The sequence below is a fragment of the Homo sapiens genome, chromosome X (genome assembly GCF_000001405.40).
Source record: "Homo sapiens chromosome X, GRCh38.p14 Primary Assembly".
In the NCBI taxonomy this organism is placed as follows: domain Eukaryota; kingdom Metazoa; phylum Chordata; class Mammalia; order Primates; family Hominidae; genus Homo; species Homo sapiens.
In genome coordinates, this window is record NC_000023.11 from 76,416,740 (window position 1) to 76,434,247 (window position 17,508).

Below are 17,508 nucleotides of genomic sequence, written 5' to 3' on the forward strand. Positions count from 1 at the left end.
ACTAAACATGGAAAGGAACAACCGGTACCAGCCACTGCAAAAACATGACAAATTGTAAAGACCATTGAGGCTAGGAAGAAACCGCATCAACTAACGAGCAAAATAACCAGCTAACATCATAATGACAGGATCAAATTCACACATAACAATATTAACCTTAAAGGTAAATGGGGTAAATGCTCCATTTAAAAGACACAGACTGGCAAATTGGATAAAGAGTCAAGACTCATCAGTGTGCTGTATTCAGGAAACCCATCTCACGTGCGGAGACACACATAGGCTGAAAATAAAGTGATGGAGGAAGATCTACCAAGCAAATGGAAAACAAAAAAAGGCAGGGGTTGCAATCCTAGTCTCTGATAAAACAGACTTTAAACCAACAAAGATCAAAAGAGACAAAGAAGGCCATTACATAATGGTAAAGGGATCAATTCAACAAGAAGAGCTAACTATCCTAAATCTATATGCACCCAATACAGGAGCACCCAGATTCATAAAGCAAGTCCTTGGAGACCTACAAAAGAGACTTAGACTCCCACACAATAATAATGGGAGACTTTAACACCCCACTGTCAATATTAGACAGATCAACGAGACAGAAAGTTAACAAGGATATCCAGAAACTGAACTCAGCTCTGCACCAAGCAGACCTAATAGACACCTACAGAGCTCGCCACCCCAAATCAACAGAATATACATTCTTTACAGCACCACACCACACCTATTCCAAAATTGACCACATAGTTGGAAGTAAAGCACTCCTCAGCAAATGTAAAAGAACAGAAATTATAACAAACTGTATTTCAGACCACACTGAAATCAAACTAGAACTCAGGATTAAGAAACTCACTCAAAACTGCTCAATTACATGGAAACTGAACAACCTGCTCCTGATTGACTACTGGGTACATAACGAAATGAAGGCAGAAATAAAGATGTCCTTTGAAACCAACGAGAAAAAAGACACAACATAACAGAATCTCTGGGACACATTCAAAGCAGTGTGTAGAGGGAAATTTGTAGCAGTAAATGCCCACAAGAGAAAGCAGGAAAGATCTAAAGTTGACACCCTAACATCACAATTAAATGAACCAGAGAAGCAAGAGCAAACACATTCAAAAGCTAGCAGAAGGCAAGAAATAACTAAGATCAGAGCAGAACCGAAGGAAATAGAGATGTAAAAAACCCTTCAAAAAATTAATGAATCCAGGAGCTAGTTTTTTGAAAAGATCAACAACATTGATAGACCGCTAGCAAGACTAATAAAGAAGAAAAGAGAGAAGAATCAAAGAGACACAATAAAAAATGACAAGGGGATATCACCACCGATCCCACAGAAATAAAAACTACCATCAGAGAATACTACAAACACCTCTATGCAAATAAACTAGAAAATCTAGAAGAAATGGATAAATTCCTCGACACATACACCCTCCTAAGACTAAACTAGGAAGAAGTTGGATCTCTGAATAGACCAATAACAGGCTCTGAAATTGAGGCAATAATTAATAGCTTACCAACCAAAAAAAGTCCAGGACCAGATGGATTCACAGCCGAATTCTACCAGAGGTACAAGGAGGAGCTGGCACCATTCCTTCTGAAACTATTTCAATCAATAGAAAAAGAGGGAATCCTCCCTAACTCACTTTATGAGGCCAGCATCATCCTGATATCAAAGCCTGGAAGAGACACAACAAAAAAAGAGAATTTTAGACCAATATCCCTGATGAACATTGATGCAAAAATCCTCAATAAAATACTGGCAAACCGAATCCAGCAGCACATCAAAAAGCTTATCCACCATGATCAAGTGGGCTTCATCCCTGGGATGCAAGGCTGGTTCAACATATGCAAATCAATAAACATAATCCAGCATATAAATAGAACCAATGACAAAAACCACATAATTATCTCAATAGATGCAGAAAAGGCCTTTGACAAAATTCAACACCCCTTCATGCTAAAAACTCTCAATAAATAAGGTATTGATGGGACATATCTCAAAATAATAAGAGCTATCTATGACAAACCCACAGCCAATATCGTACTGAATGGACAAAAACTGGAAGCATTCCCTTTGAAAACTGGCACAAGACAGGGATGCCCTCTCTCACCACTCCTATTCAACATAGTGTTGGATGTTCTGGCCAGGGCAGTCAGGCAGGAGAAGGAAATAAAATGTATTCAATTAGGAAAAGAGGAAGTCAAATTGTCCCTGTTTGCAGATGACATGATTGTATATCTAGAAACCCCCATCATTTGAGCCCAAAATCTCCTTAAGCTGATAGGCAACTTCAGCAAAGTCTCAGGACACAAAATCAATGTGTAAAAATCACAAGCATTCTTATACACCAATAACAGACAAACAGAGAGCCAAATCATGAGTGAACTCCCATTCACAATTGCTTCAAAAGAATAAAATACCTAGGAATCCAACTTACAAGGGATGTGAAGGAACTCTTCAAGGAGAACTACAAACCACTGCTCAATGAAATAAAAGAAGATACAAACAAATGGAAGAATATTCCATGCTCATGTGTAGAAAGAGTCAATATCGTGAAAATGGCCATACTGCCCAAGGTAATTTATAGATTCAATGCCATCACCATCAAGCTACAAATTACTTTCTTCACAGAATTGGAAAAAACTACTTTAAAGCTCATATGGAACCAAAAAAGAGCTCACATTGCCAAGTCAATCCTAAGCCAAAAGAACAAAGCTGGAGGCATCACGCTACCTGACTTCAAGCTATACTACAAGACTACAGTAACCAAAACAGCATGGTACTGGTACCAAAACAGAGGTACAGACCAATGGAACAGAACAGAGCCCTCAGAAATAATGCTGCATATCTACAACTATCTGATCTTTGACAAACCTGACAAAAACAAGAAATGTGGAAAGGATTCCCTATTTAATAAATGGTGCTGGGAAAACTGGCTAGCCATATGGAGAAAGCTGAAACTGGATCCCTTCCTTACACCTTACACAAAAATTAATTCTAGATGGATTAAAGACTTAAATATTAGACCTACAACCATAAAAACCTTAGAAGAAAACCTAGGCAATACCATTCAGGACATAGGCATGGGTAAGAACTTCATGTCTAAAACACCAAAAGCAGTAGCAACAAAAGCCAAAATTTACAAATGGGATCTAAATAAACTAAAGAGCTTCTGCACTGCAAAAGAAATTACCATCAGAGTGAACAGGCAACCTACAAAATGGGAGAAAATTTTTGCAATCTACTCATCTGACAAAGGGCTAACATCCAGAATCTGCAATGAACTCAAACACATTTACAAGAAAAAAACAAACAACCCCATCAAAAAGTGGGTGAAGGATATGAACAGACACTTCTCAAAAGAAGACATTTATGCAGTCAAAAGACATGAAAAAATGTTCATCATCACTGGCCATCAGAGAAATGCAAATCAAAACCACAATGAGAAGACATGGACACAGGAAGGGGAACATGACACACCGGGGCCTGTTGTGGGGTGGGGGGAGGGTGGAGGGATAGCATTTGGAGGTACACCTAATGTTAAATGATGAGTTAATGGGTGCAGCACCCCAACATGGCACATGTATACATATGTAACTAACCTGCACATTGTGCACATGTACCTAGAACTTAAAGTATAATAAAAAGAAAAAAAATGAAACAACCTGGAGAACAATGGTCCCCCCAGTGGTCAAAAATAGTACCTGTAGCCCTGATTATATGGCTTAACTACACTACACTGAAATTTACAACAAATGAGGAGACCGCCAACAGAGATGTTGTGACCTCTGTTGGTGTACATACTCACACCAAACACAACCTATTACCAGTTTTCATAAACATGAGAGCCCATAAATTGCCACCTACAACAAAGAAACACCCATATGGTACTTTTACCTTGCACTTCTTCCTCATAGAAAACCAGACCCTAGCCACTTTCCCCTCACTGTGGACCACTTACTCTGGAATCATCCTCAGTCTGCATTCACTCATCTCTTCAAATAAGTTGAGCAAACCATCCACAACTATCTGGAGTTAGAGGTGCCCTTATCTGTCATCCATGTACTTTGCCCCACTAAAGGCACTGTGAAACAAACCTGGAACTACTCCCAACACCCAGAAGGTGGAACTAATCTCCATGGACTGGGTAACATCATTGGTGATACCCAGGGAACAACCAGATCTCATACTTCTGGTTGGAGATAACCTCTAATTTTACTCCATTTTTGCGGTGCTGTCCTTGCTTAAGAAGTTACTATGCTCACCAGTGTTGGCTACACATCAATTGCTGGATCACCCTATCTCTGATAATCTATACCCTACTGCTGACAAGGTATGTTTGGAAACAACATGCCACAGGTTCATCACAGGGAGACACACAACATGGGTCAGTTTGGGAACAATGGGAACCACACAATTAACTATTTAGGTTGTCCAATCCTACTAACATAACCACAGACATCACCTCTGAAGTTAGCACTCCCCATTTTTTCTCTGCTACTCTTAGCAGCACTCAGTATGGCTAAGCCAGACTCTAAGATACCACTTGTGACCCGTACAAATGCTTTCTAAGCCCTATGTACCATCATTTTCTTCAAATTAGACAAAACTCACTATTATTAACTACTGCCATTGAGTAAATAGATCAATGGGCCATGACCTTTTGAGTTCCATTTAAGGAATGCCCAGAGACAGTATGTACCCATTATTATAACCAAGATACTTGTGATTTATGTAATCAAATTAGAAATGCTGTATTTCAAGACAATAACAACAAACACTAAAGGATTGCCAAAACAAAATTATACTTTGTAATAATCCCTGGGATGATGATAAATGTAAACAATATAAGTCCTTACAACTATTGGTGTCTTTTCTTATTAATTATGATGTTCTTGCTCCCCTCTAGTACAAACCCCATTTATTGAGACTCTGTGTACAACTTATTAATAAATAGCCTTTGCTTTCCACATTTGGGTGGTTTTTGTTATTCCAACAGTATATTATTTGGGATACCCCAGAAAAATAACATTGGGCAGAAATTTTTCCCAAATATTTCTCAAGCGTTTATTCATGGCAATTTTGGTATTTTTTAAATATTTGCAAAATTTCTAATAAATATAAGCAAGTAGTTGTCAATTTGGGTAGAGAAACTCCTATTTAGAGAGCAGTTAGAGTTCTTCATGGGATCAAATATGTTTTTAGTAGGAATTGTCTTTGCTGTTACCCTCAAGAGCTATGAAAATATTGTACTAAGTGGCCAGGGGCATCTTACTATGGATTTCCTCTCTGGTGGCCGATTAATTTAAACAAGTAAAGCAATATTTACTATGTAATATTACCTGGGCCAAGGCACATCTGATAAATCAGGGACTATAATCAGCTTAAGAATTCTTCTATAGTAACCTTCTTACAATACCAACTGCAAGTTTTACATAACACTCAATGGAAGCTGGCTCTACAACAATTGCAAGACTGGCTGTCCATGGTAAATAATCGTAGCTCTTGAGGGTTACAGCAAAGACAATTCCTACTAAAAACATGTTTGATCCCATGGAGAACTCCAACTGCTCTCTGCATGGTAGTTTCTCTACACAAATTGATAACTACTTGCTTGTATTTATTAGAAATTTTGCAGGGTCTGCCAAAACTGCCATTAATAAAGTCTTGGGAAATATTTGAGGAAGATTTATGACCAATGTTACTTTTCTGGAGTATCCCAAATAGTATACTGTGGGAACAACAAAGACCACCCAAATGTGAAAAGCAAAGGCTATTCAGAGCTTGCTATAGTAAGGGAGTCAACTATTGTCATCTGTGTTTTGGCAGAGACTCAATGGTGAGCAAAACAGTGAGAAAGTTTGTAGCGCGAAAAAGAAAGGCTACAGCTACACACTGAATAGAGATTATTGGCATGGGGAAGATGTAGGCAGGCTAACTAGAAGTGGATCATCCTATGCGATTAGTTAGAGGTGCATACTTGGCTTTTTCTGGTTGGATCTAAGTTGGATGCAGAGACAAGAATTAAGAAGGTAGTCAGTTATTAATCAAGTCCTGGCCATTTTGGGCTGATTGTTATAGAAATTATTGTTTATTTCCTTGAATTGTTACTAAAGATAAAAATTTGACATCCTACAAGTCTGACTTATAGCAGGCTAATGCTCTGGGCTGCTTACTGTAGTTAAGTGGGTTGGTTTCCTAGGCAAGTTGTTGAAGGTTGCGGGTCACTGTTCTACTTTTTATATATGGTCCAACCATTGTCCATTTGTACATTCAATCTTTCAGTATACATCCCACCATACAGGAGATAGAAACAATAATGAGAAGCCTGATATCAAAGCTAACCTGGGAAGAAACTTATTGGTGACATCACATTGCCACCTCTAAAGAGGTCACCCTTGAACTTATTCGAGCTATACAAATGGACTCCCTAGAAAAGTTTCCCTGGAATAAAAATGATGGAACAGGTGGCCTCCCACTAAAATTAGAACAACATCATCATAAACAGGGAAATAAATAGGCCAAATTTATAATATGATTGATGGTTATTTTTGAAATAATTTGCCCTACCTTTGAGGATCACATATGTGAGTACTCCACAGTTCAGAATCAAATTTGGTGCATGTATAAATTAATAACTTTTTAAAAACTGCCAAGAGATACTGTGAAGCTTACTCTAGACCCATGCAAACATTCTGATGCTATTTACTACTGGCAATCACCCGGAAACTCAAGCAAGGCACACCAATCCAAATAAGGAGGAACATTCATTTGCCTAAACCTGCAGATATCTTAAGTCACAGAAACACATATAATGACAAATTTAACTGCATGTTGGACTTGCTTCTGCCAATCTGATTCTAGCATTATGGATAGACAGGAACATGTAGCAAAGGGGTTATAATGTCACTCTACTGACTGAACAATTGAACAAATTAAAATCTGCTCCTTTTTCTAATCGATTCCCCTGGCTTTCCTCCATTACGTGGGCAGATTGGCTATGAAAGGGTTTTGAAATCCTTGTTTGTACCCTTATAGGATTCTGTCTCCTTTATTTCTGGCAAGAAACTTAGGCACTGCAAAATAACATACAATTTTAATTATAAGACAACATTGGGCCAGGGGATGGACTGTTATATGCATGAGCCAAAGATAGTCTCTATATATTGATTCTGCCAGTACCAAACTCAATTTTTTACACATCAATTGTTTTAAATATAGACCAATAAGTAGATTGTTAGCCATTTAGAGGCTGCCTTCTTTGCATGTCCCTGTGAAACTACAATCATCTGTTAGCTATAGATAGGATAAACTCCAGGAGATAAAAACCCTAACCTACTGCTGCCCTTCAGAGATCTCTGACCCAGCAACTCCCTGTCTTGCTGCTGAGAGACATCGCTACATGTATAAGCCATCTCTTTGATTCCCCTCCCTCTCTCCAGTTAGCTTGTCCTCTCATTTTCTAGGTTGTGACCTCCCACCAGCCTCTGGAAGATCTCAGACTTTGATTAACCCCATGCCCTTGCAAACCTGTCAAAGGGTTGACCAAATGAAACTCGTATGCTTATACACTGTTGGTGGGAATGTAAATTAGTAATAATAAACACTATATATAGTTCAACCACTATAGAAAGCAGTTTGGAGATTTCTCAAAGAACATAAAACACAACTACCATTCAATTCAGTAATCACATTATCGGGCATATATCCAGAAGAAAAGAAATCATTCAACCAAAAAGACACATACACTCATAGTTGTTTGCAGCCTTATTAACAAGAGCAATGACATGGAGTCAACTTAGGTGTCTATCACTGATATTTGCTAAAGAAAATGTGGTACATATATACCATGGAATACAACACAGCCATAAAAACTAATGAAATAATGTCCTTTGCAGCAACATGGATGCAGCTGAAGGCCATTATCCTAAGCGAATTTACACAGAAACAGAAAACCAAATACCATATGTTCTCATTTATAAGTTGGAGCTAAAGATTGGGTACTCATCAACATAAAGGTGGCAAAAACAGACACTGGAGGACTATTAGAAGGGGGAAGAAGAAAGGGGGTCATGGGTTGAAAAACTGTTGAGTATTATGCTCACTACCTGGGTGATGAGATCATCTGTTTTCCAAACCTCAGCATCATGCAATATACCCATATAACAAACCTGTGTATGTATCCCCAGAATCTAAAATAAAAGTTGAAATTCTAAAACAGACAAACAACAAAAACTCATTGTGTGTTACTGAAAACGTGTGGTAGTATATATTTTTCTTGATCAGTCCCCAAATCTCTTGCACTCACTTGTTTCCTATATTTTAATTCTACATATAAATTACACAAAACATATTATTATTATTGTTTTACATTGTCAATATGTCTGTTTACCCACATATTTATCCTTTCTATTACTGTTCGCTTCTTGCATCTCTTCAGTTTCAGAGGAGAACCTTTCAGTATTTCCTCAGTGTGGGTGTACTGGTGATCAATTTACTCAGCACTGATTTCTGAACATGTATTTATTTTGCCTTCATTTTTGATGTACTATTTCAGTAAGTTCAGAATTCCAAATTATCAGCTTACAAATCATTAAATTCCTTAAGTGACAAACTTGTATACAATGTAAGACTCACCTCTTTGCACTTCCCTTTTTTCTGAGATCATTACTCTTGAAGTCCTCATTGCCTTTATAGGTTTCTGATGCTATATTGGTAGCCTTTGTTGCCATAAAAGGGTTTCTTTACCTAAATTTCTGGGGTTTTTTTTCCGCAGGGCTGCTGCAATCAACTATACATTATTAGAAATGGAATTCTTTGATATCATTATAATGACTTACTGGTATTCCATTTTTAGTACCATAATTTCTTCAAATACTCTTTAGTTATTTAACATTCATTTAGTTTTCAGCTCTGTTATACTAGAACAAATTATATAATAAAAGTTATTTTAGCTAAATATTTGCACATATATCTTATTATTTCTTTAGAATATATTTCTAGAGGTAAAAATTTTTAGTTTATAGGTTTGAACAACTTCAGGGTCTTTAAAAATCACTGTACCCTAGGTTAGGAATATCTGTTGCTAAAGCTTAGAAATATCTTAGGTTTTTTTGTGCCTCCCATTCTGAATAGGCCCCAGGCATAAAAACTGCATTGGACTTCACAGAACCGAAACTGGTTATTCATATAAGGGATTGCTTCTCCAATTGGAGACAGAGATGGTGACACATTGTGACTGTAGCCAGTTATTTTCCCTTTCCTAAAGACGTATTAAAAAAAAGTATTGGAACCAACCCAAATGCCCATCAATGACAGACTGGATAAAGAAAACATGGCACATATACACCATGGAATACTATGCAATAAAAAAGGATGAGTTCATGTCCTTTGCAGGGGCATGGATGAAGCTGGAAACCATCATTCTCAGAAAATTAACACAAGAACAGGAAACCAAACACCACACGTTCTCACTCATAAGTGGGAATTGAACAATTACAACACATGGACACAGGGAGGGGAACATCACACACCAGGGCCTGTCAAGAGGTGGGGAGATAGGGGAGGGATAGCATTAGGAGAAATACCTAATGTAGATGATGGGTTGATGGGTGCAGCAAACCACCATGGCACGTGTATACCTAGGTAACAAATCTGCACATTCTGCACATGTACCCCAAAACTTAAAGTATAAAAAAAAAGAAAAAAAGACAAAAGTATACTCCCAGATTTTTGAGAAGATATAAAGAAAGACAACATATAATAAATGTTTGCAGCAAGATATAAACATATCAATAAAGGGTCAATAGTGGTAAGCTGAATTGTAGTGGTTGTGTGAGTGTCAGAAAGTTAGTGTTTTCCCTCTATCTCTCTTCCTCTCTCTCTCTCCCCTACTTCTAAAAACAGCCTGCCCGTCCTCTTCAGTGTTTTCTTTCTTACTCACTGCTGCCGTGCTACTCTCAGTTGGAATGATTTTCTCATCCTTGTCCTTTTGGTAAATATCTACCCACTCATCTTTTTAAACATCTCCTCTTTTATGAAGCCTTTTCTGCATCTACAGGTAGAACTGACCCTGCCATCCCCTGCATTCTTTACAAACTTCTAGAAAATTTAGCTTTACTTTTTCTCTGACTCCCATTTTTACATCGGGTGCTCCTTGATGACAAAGAGATTAACTGTAACTTCGGGATAGATGACCAGTGTTTGTTGAGTGAATGAATAAAGGGATCAGGGTTGGATCTGCTCAAAAGTGCTAGAGTAATAGAGCAAAACAGAGCAGGTAACACATCCCTTAACACTCGGTATCTCAACTGACTTTCACAAAAGCTCTATTAAATGAGCAGGTGATTGTGGAGTGAAAGAATTAAACAAATTTTCAAGAGTTTTAGTGGCTTTCCCACTAAAGCCTGGGTGACTGGGAAAGTTTGGGCTGGGAATGTTGGGCTTTTCAAGCGTGTTCGAAGCTCCCTAATTGGTACTAAATTTCAGGCATTCAGACCCTCTAGGAAAGAGTTCTTTCTAGCTCACAACATTAGGGGAGGAGTTAGACACATAAATGGAGAAAGTGATAGAAGAGACATGGTCAGGGATGGGGGTTCTACCCTTCCAGAGACAATGCACATTTTCTTTGAAACAGCTTCGGGAAAACTGCAAATCTCAATGATATTTACCAATTTTGAGAATCTATTAAGTGCCTGGCACTCTGTGTAGAAGCCCTCCAATCGTACCCTAAATCTGAGAAGTATTTATTATTATTTCCATTTTTACTCCCTAATGCATCTACTCTAAGCTCCTTGCTTCACCCTACCAAAGTTTCCCTTCTGCTAGTGCTCTCCTTTGGTGCAGAACCACCGCATCCACTTTCTCAGGCCCAGGGGAGGGGCGGGGCGGGGCGATTTCGCCTTGCCGCAGAGCCAGTCTGCGCCTGCGCGGACTGCGGCAGAGGGCGGGGTGTGAGAAGCAGAGTACAGTGAGACTAGCATTCACTGCTGGCCAGTGCCTGCCTTTTTCACCACCTCTAATTTCAGCTTCAGCAGTTGCTTGGAACTTTGGTTCTGGCAGCAGCAGCAACATCATTACCGCTAGCGGCAGTTTTGTGCCGAGGCACCTACACACCTCCCGTCCTCTCTGCCAGATCGCGGGCCTGTCGGTGTCTGCTCCTACACGCCAACGCCGGTGGGCAGGACCATGTCTCTGGTAAGCCAGAATTCGCGCCGCCGCCGCCGCCGCGTTGCAAAGGCTACTGCGCACAACAGCAGCTGGGGCGAAATGCAGGCCCCTAATGCCCCCGGTCTCCCCGCTGATGTGCCAGGCTCAGACGTCCCCCAGGGTCCCAGCGATTCCCAGATCCTCCAGGGCCTCTGCGCCTCTGAGGGCCCAAGCACCTCCGTTCTGCCCACCTCCGCTGAGGGCCCAAGCACCTTTGTGCCGCCCACCATCTCTGAGGCCTCAAGCGCCTCCGGGCAGCCCACCATCTCTGAGGGACCTGGCACCTCCGTGCTGCCCACCCCCAGTGAGGGCCTAAGCACCTCCGGGCCTCCCACCATCTCTAAGGGGCTGTGCACCTCTGTGACGCTTGCCGCCTCTGAGGGCCGGAACACCTCCAGGCCGCCCACTTCCTCTGAGGAACCTAGCACCTCCGTGCCGCCCACCGCCTCTGAGGTACCGAGCACCTCCCTGCCGCCCACCCCTGGTGAGGGAACGAGCACCTCCGTGCCGCCCACAGCCTATGAGGGACCAAGCACCTCCGTGGTGCCCACCCCTGATGAGGGACCAAGCACCTCCGTGCTGCCTACACCTGGTGAGGGACCAGGCACCTCCGTGCCGCTCGCCGCCACTGAGGGCCTGAGCACCTCCGTGCAGGCCACTCCTGATGAGGGACCGAGCACCTCCGTGCCGCCCACCGCCACTGAGGGCCTAAGCACCCCCGTGCCACCCACCCGTGATGAGGGACCGAGCACCTCCGTGCCGGCCACTCCTGGTGAGGGACCGAGCACCTCCGTGCTGCCCGCCGCCTCTGACGGACAAAGCATCTCCTTGGTGCCCACCCGCGGTAAGGGATCAAGCACCTCCGTGCCCCCCACCGCCACCGAGGGCCTGAGCACCTCCGTGCAGCCCACTGCTGGTGAGGGATCGAGCACCTCCGTGCCGCCCACCCCTGGTGGGGGACTGAGCACCTCCGTGCCGCCCACCGCCACTGAGGAGTTGAGCACCTCCGTGCCGCCCACTCCCGGTGAGGGACCAAGCACTTCCGTACTGCCAATCCCCGGTGAGGGACTGAGCACCTCTGTGCCGCCCACCGCCTCTGATGGATCGGACACCTCCGTGCCGCCCACTCCTGGTGAGGGCGCAAGCACCTTAGTGCAGCCCACCGCCCCTGACGGACCGGGAAGCTCCGTGCTGCCTAACCCTGGTGAGGGCCCGAGCACATTGTTTAGCTCTAGTGCTTCTGTGGACCGGAACCCCTCCAAGTGTTCCCTTGTTTTGCCAAGCCCTAGGGTAACCAAGGCCTCCGTGGACTCAGATTCTGAGGGTCCTAAGGGTGCAGAAGGCCCTATAGAATTCGAGGTCCTGAGAGACTGTGAGAGCCCCAACTCCATTAGTATTATGGGCCTCAATACTTCCCGGGTTGCAATTACCCTGAAGCCCCAAGACCCTATGGAACAGAACGTAGCTGAGCTGTTGCAGTTCCTGCTGGTGAAGGATCAGAGCAAGTACCCTATCCGGGAGTCTGAAATGCGGGAATATATTGTTAAAGAATATCGCAACCAGTTTCCTGAGATACTCAGGCGAGCAGCAGCCCACCTGGAGTGCATTTTTAGGTTTGAATTGAGAGAACTTGACCCTGAGGCACACACCTACATTCTGTTAAACAAACTGGGACCTGTGCCCTTTGAAGGGTTAGAAGAGAGCCCAAATGGGCCAAAGATGGGCCTCCTGATGATGATTCTAGGCCAAATATTCCTGAATGGCAACCAAGCCAAGGAGGCTGAGATTTGGGAAATGCTCTGGAGGATGGGGGTGCAGCGGGAAAGGAGGCTTTCCATTTTTGGGAACCCAAAGAGACTTCTGTCTGTGGAGTTTGTATGGCAGCGTTACTTAGACTACAGGCCAGTAACTGACTGTAAACCAGTGGAGTATGAGTTTTTCTGGGGCCCAAGATCCCACCTAGAAACCACCAAGATGAAAATTCTGAAGTTCATGGCGAAAATATATAACAAAGATCCTATGGATTGGCCAGAGAAATACAACGAAGCTCTGGAAGAAGATGCTGCCAGAGCCTTTGCTGAGGGTTGGCAGGCTCTCCCTCACTTTAGGAGGCCCTTTTTTGAGGAAGCTGCTGCAGAGGTACCATCCCCTGATTCAGAGGTTTCCAGCTATTCCTCAAAATATGCCCCACATTCATGGCCTGAGTCAAGATTGGAGAGCAAGGCAAGGAAGCTGGTGCAGTTATTTCTGCTTATGGATTCAACTAAGCTGCCTATACCAAAGAAAGGAATTCTGTACTACATTGGCCGAGAGTGCAGCAAAGTGTTCCCTGACCTCCTGAATCGTGCTGCCCGCACCCTGAACCATGTCTATGGGACAGAACTAGTGGTACTTGATCCCAGGAATCACTCCTATACTCTGTACAACCGAAGGGAGATGGAAGAAACTGAGGAGATCGTAGACAGTCCAAACAGGCCTGGCAACAACTTTTTGATGCAGGTCCTAAGCTTCATCTTTATTATGGGCAACCATGCCAGGGAGTCTGCAGTCTGGGCCTTTCTGCGGGGCTTAGGGGTTCAAGCTGGGAGAAAGCATGTGATTACCTGCAGATACTTGAGTCAGCGCTATATAGACAGTTTACGGGTTCCTGACAGTGATCCAGTGCAATATGAGTTTGTATGGGGTCCTAGAGCCCGTTTGGAAACCTCTAAGATGAAAGCCTTGCGATATGTGGCCAGAATCCACAGAAAGGAACCACAGGACTGGCCACAGCAGTACAGGGAGGCAATGGAAGATGAGGCCAATAGAGCTGATGTTGGGCACAGGCAAATCTTTGTTCACAACTTCAGGTAGAGGAATGCATGGCAGTCAGAGGGGCCTTGCAAGGAGGGGCCTTTGAGCCTCAGTTCTCATGTATTGGGGGGTGGGGGTGGGTACATATTGTATTTGGTATTTGTGTTCCAGTTATATTTATGTCTTTTCATATTTAGTTCTGGTGTGGTGTCTGGAAATGTTTCAACTGTTTTAATATATTGTCTGATTGGGTAAATGTGATTGACCACTTGCTGTCTCTGTTGTATTTTGGTATGAGTTTTGATAGCTCTATAAAATGTTTTGGAAATCTTTCCATCTTGTTGCATTATCTAGAAAAGAATATAGCATATAGCTATAGATATAGGCTTTTCCTTGAAAGCTTGAAAAAAATTCGCCAGTAAAATAATCTAGCTTAAAGTGATAAACTAACAAACAAATATAACAACAACTGAAAAGGCACTCTAAATTGTGGCTGGCTTCCCTTTCTGTCTGCTATTGTATGAAGAATACTGATGTTTACCTGTATTTGCTTTGCTGTACTAAAATGTAATGAAAAATAAAAGATTAATAAATGAAACATAATGCTAATACACTGACTTATTCAACTGCTTTCATACAGTGAGCACAGTGGTGTGCCCTAGTTATAGAAGTATAAAAGTTTACAAGATATAGTACCTGCCCAAGAATTCAGAGGCTGGATAGGGTACAGGGGGAGGTCATTTAAATCACCAATTTATTATGGTGTACTATGTGCTACAATAGAAAAATAGAGAGTGCTATGGTAGTTAAAAAGAGGCACAACTGACCAATTCCTGGGGTGTTCAGGGTGGTCCTTAAGGAAGCTGTTGGGTATGTGGGGTGGGGACAAGATGGGGTCTTTTTTTTTTTTTTTTTTTTTGAGACAGAGTCTCGCTCTGTTGCCCAGGCTAGAGTGCAGTGGCATGATCTCGGCTCACTGCAACCTCTGCCTCCTGGGTTCAAGAAATTCTCCTGCCTCAGCCTCCAGAGTAGCTGGGACTACAGGCAAGTGCCATCACACCCAGCTAATTTTTGTATTTTTAGTAGAGACGGGGTTTCACTATTTTGGCCAGGCTGGTCTCAAACTCCTGACCTCGTGATCTGTCCACCTCAGCCTCCCAAAGTGCTGAGATTACAGGCGTGAGCCACCGTGCCCAGCCAAGATGGGGTCCCTAATACAATCATGAATTAAACTGATTCAAGGCTGGATTTCAGTCTTTATGTGTGCTGGTAGGAAAAAAAGTCAAAGATGTAAGGCCAGAGAGCAGGATATATTGTGTCATCAATGGTTTCAATAAGATACATGAGCCAGCTTTCTCTAAGTTATGCTGTGGGTTTTTAAAAAATACCCAAATCTCAGAGGCTTACAACAACAAAATTTTGGGCTCATTTTACATCCCTTTCATGGGCTGTCTGTGATTCTGTTTATATTGTCTTCCTTCAGGTAACCAGGCTAAAGGAGTAAATCATATATGGGACACCTGTTCTTGTGGCAGAAGTAAAAGAGCCATAGTGGAACCATGTGATAGTTTTCAAAGCCTATGCTCATATATGGCATATTGTAGTCATAATCCATTGGCAAAAGCAAGTCACATGGGCAAGCTTGATGTCAATGAGCTGGGAAGTGTACTCCTTCTACAGGGAAGAACATATAGGAATGGGCCCAGTAGAGAGGAAGAACATATATTTTTGAATAAAAAATTAGTCTACCATATAAGAATTTGGCTTTAGTTGTGAGTGAGATGGAAAACTATTTAAGGCTTTTGATCTGAGCGATGGCAGGAAACCACTTAGTTTTGACAGGATTCTTTTGGCTCTCATATTGAAAAACTAAAGGGGGTGGGGAGGGCAGAAACTCTAATTTTAGCATAGTAATTTCTTCTTAATGTACCTATGAAAAGAGGTGTTATTTTCTGAACAAAATCAAATTTAAAGAAATTGAAGTCAGAAAGCCTGTTATCTTTTAAAAAACACCTTGGAAATCAAACTCCGTGGTATCAAGGTTAAAAGGCATTAGAACATAGTAGTAAGAGCATGTAGTCTAGAGTCAAAGTGCCTGGGTACAAACCCTGGCTCTCTCTGATACTAGAGATGAGAACTCAGGCAAGTTACTTAACTCCTTTGTGCCTCCATTTTTTCATCTGTAAAATGGGCATAATAATTTCACCTACGCCATAATGTTGGGGATTAAATGTGTTAACATGTAAAACACAAGAGCACTTGACATGTAGTTAGCAATATATAAGTGATATTGTTGCATGTTGATTTTTTCCAGGAATGAGACTGTGAGTGATTTCCTTGCAGAAATTTTACTGGGGAGTTGTTTTGGGTTCAACAGGTGTGGGGAGCAAGAGAAGCAGAATTGTGTAGAAAGAGAAGTCGAGCAGTGATTCAGTCACAGCAAATAAATTAACTGATTCCACAGGGAGCTCTGGAGTTGGTGTGGTCCTGCAGAGTTGTCCCAAATTAGGAAAAAGAGGCCAAAGTTTTATCCCACCATACTCACCAGTCGTTGGATGCAAACTGCCTCCTGGTAAGGGGCTATGACTTTTTGAGAGTCAGTTCTTTTCAGCTGAGAGTAATCCCTGAGAAAGGTACTCAGCTGTAAACACAGCAGCTGTCATCACCCTCAAGAGCTGGAGGAATGAGTAATGTGATCCTGAAGAGTAGGAGCATCTGGGTGATACATCACAATCTCCACTACAGTTGTTGCTGTTTTTATTGGTTTCCTTCCCCTCCCCTCCTACTCTTTAATAATAATTCTTCCTCTTCTTCTTCTTTCTCTTCTTCATCATCCTCATCTCTTTCCCCTTTCCTCTTCCCACCTTCTCCTCCTTGTTATTATCACTATTACTATTGTTATAATCTAAAAGAATTACATATCTTCTTATATCATTACTAATATTTTTTTTAAAAAATCTGTAAAGATTACATATATTCTTATTGTTCTGCCTGGGATATAACACCCACATCACTGAATCGTTTTACTCTTCGCACAACCTTCCTGAGAGAGAGGCTCTGATAATAGAGCTTCATTTACTTCTTAAGTTCTGTATTAGTTCTCTATTCTTTTCATGTTTCTTAGTAGACTTGTGTGTTATCCAATTGTTGCCAGAAGATGTTACCTAAGCAAGTTTCTTGGTTGTTTGTCATTTAAATATTGCGAACTATTTTTCTCTCAGATAAACTTGACCAACATGCACAAACATTCAGAATATCCCACTAAAGACAACCAAGGAAGAAAATACGTTTTTTTTCATGCATTTCTCTCAAAAGTAACCATTTTGGTCTCAGAAAATGTCTGATTAAATGTCTTTGTTCAAATGCACCTGTTAGATTAGGATGCAAGCTTTTGTTTCAAGATTCCATGTGTTCAGTGGAGGGTCGTGCTCTCATGATTACATGAATGTGTACTATTTTTTAAAAAAGGATCTTGTCATTCTGCGTTAAGGTAATGATCATTG

The 17,508-nt window shown here is 41.8% G+C and overlaps 1 protein-coding gene across 1 annotated transcript, besides 2 other annotated features; it reads left to right on the plus strand.

The window, feature by feature from the left end:
• MAGEE1 (MAGE family member E1) lies at nt 10,971–14,603 on the plus strand. Its single transcript, NM_020932.3, has one exon. The coding sequence runs from the start codon at nt 11,192–11,194 to the stop codon at nt 14,063–14,065; it is 2,874 nt and encodes a 957-aa protein (NP_065983.1). The 5' UTR covers nt 10,971–11,191; the 3' UTR covers nt 14,066–14,603.
• Nucleotides 11,019–11,228: an enhancer, noted in NCBI's record as "active region_29776". NCBI's record gives its function as "activates an Ori minimal core promoter by ATAC-STARR-seq in GM12878 lymphoblastoid cells {active_cell/tissue: GM12878}" and the evidence as "EXISTENCE:reporter gene assay evidence [ECO:0000049][PMID:35858748]".
• Nucleotides 11,699–11,828: an enhancer, noted in NCBI's record as "active region_29777". NCBI's record gives its function as "activates an Ori minimal core promoter by ATAC-STARR-seq in GM12878 lymphoblastoid cells {active_cell/tissue: GM12878}" and the evidence as "EXISTENCE:reporter gene assay evidence [ECO:0000049][PMID:35858748]".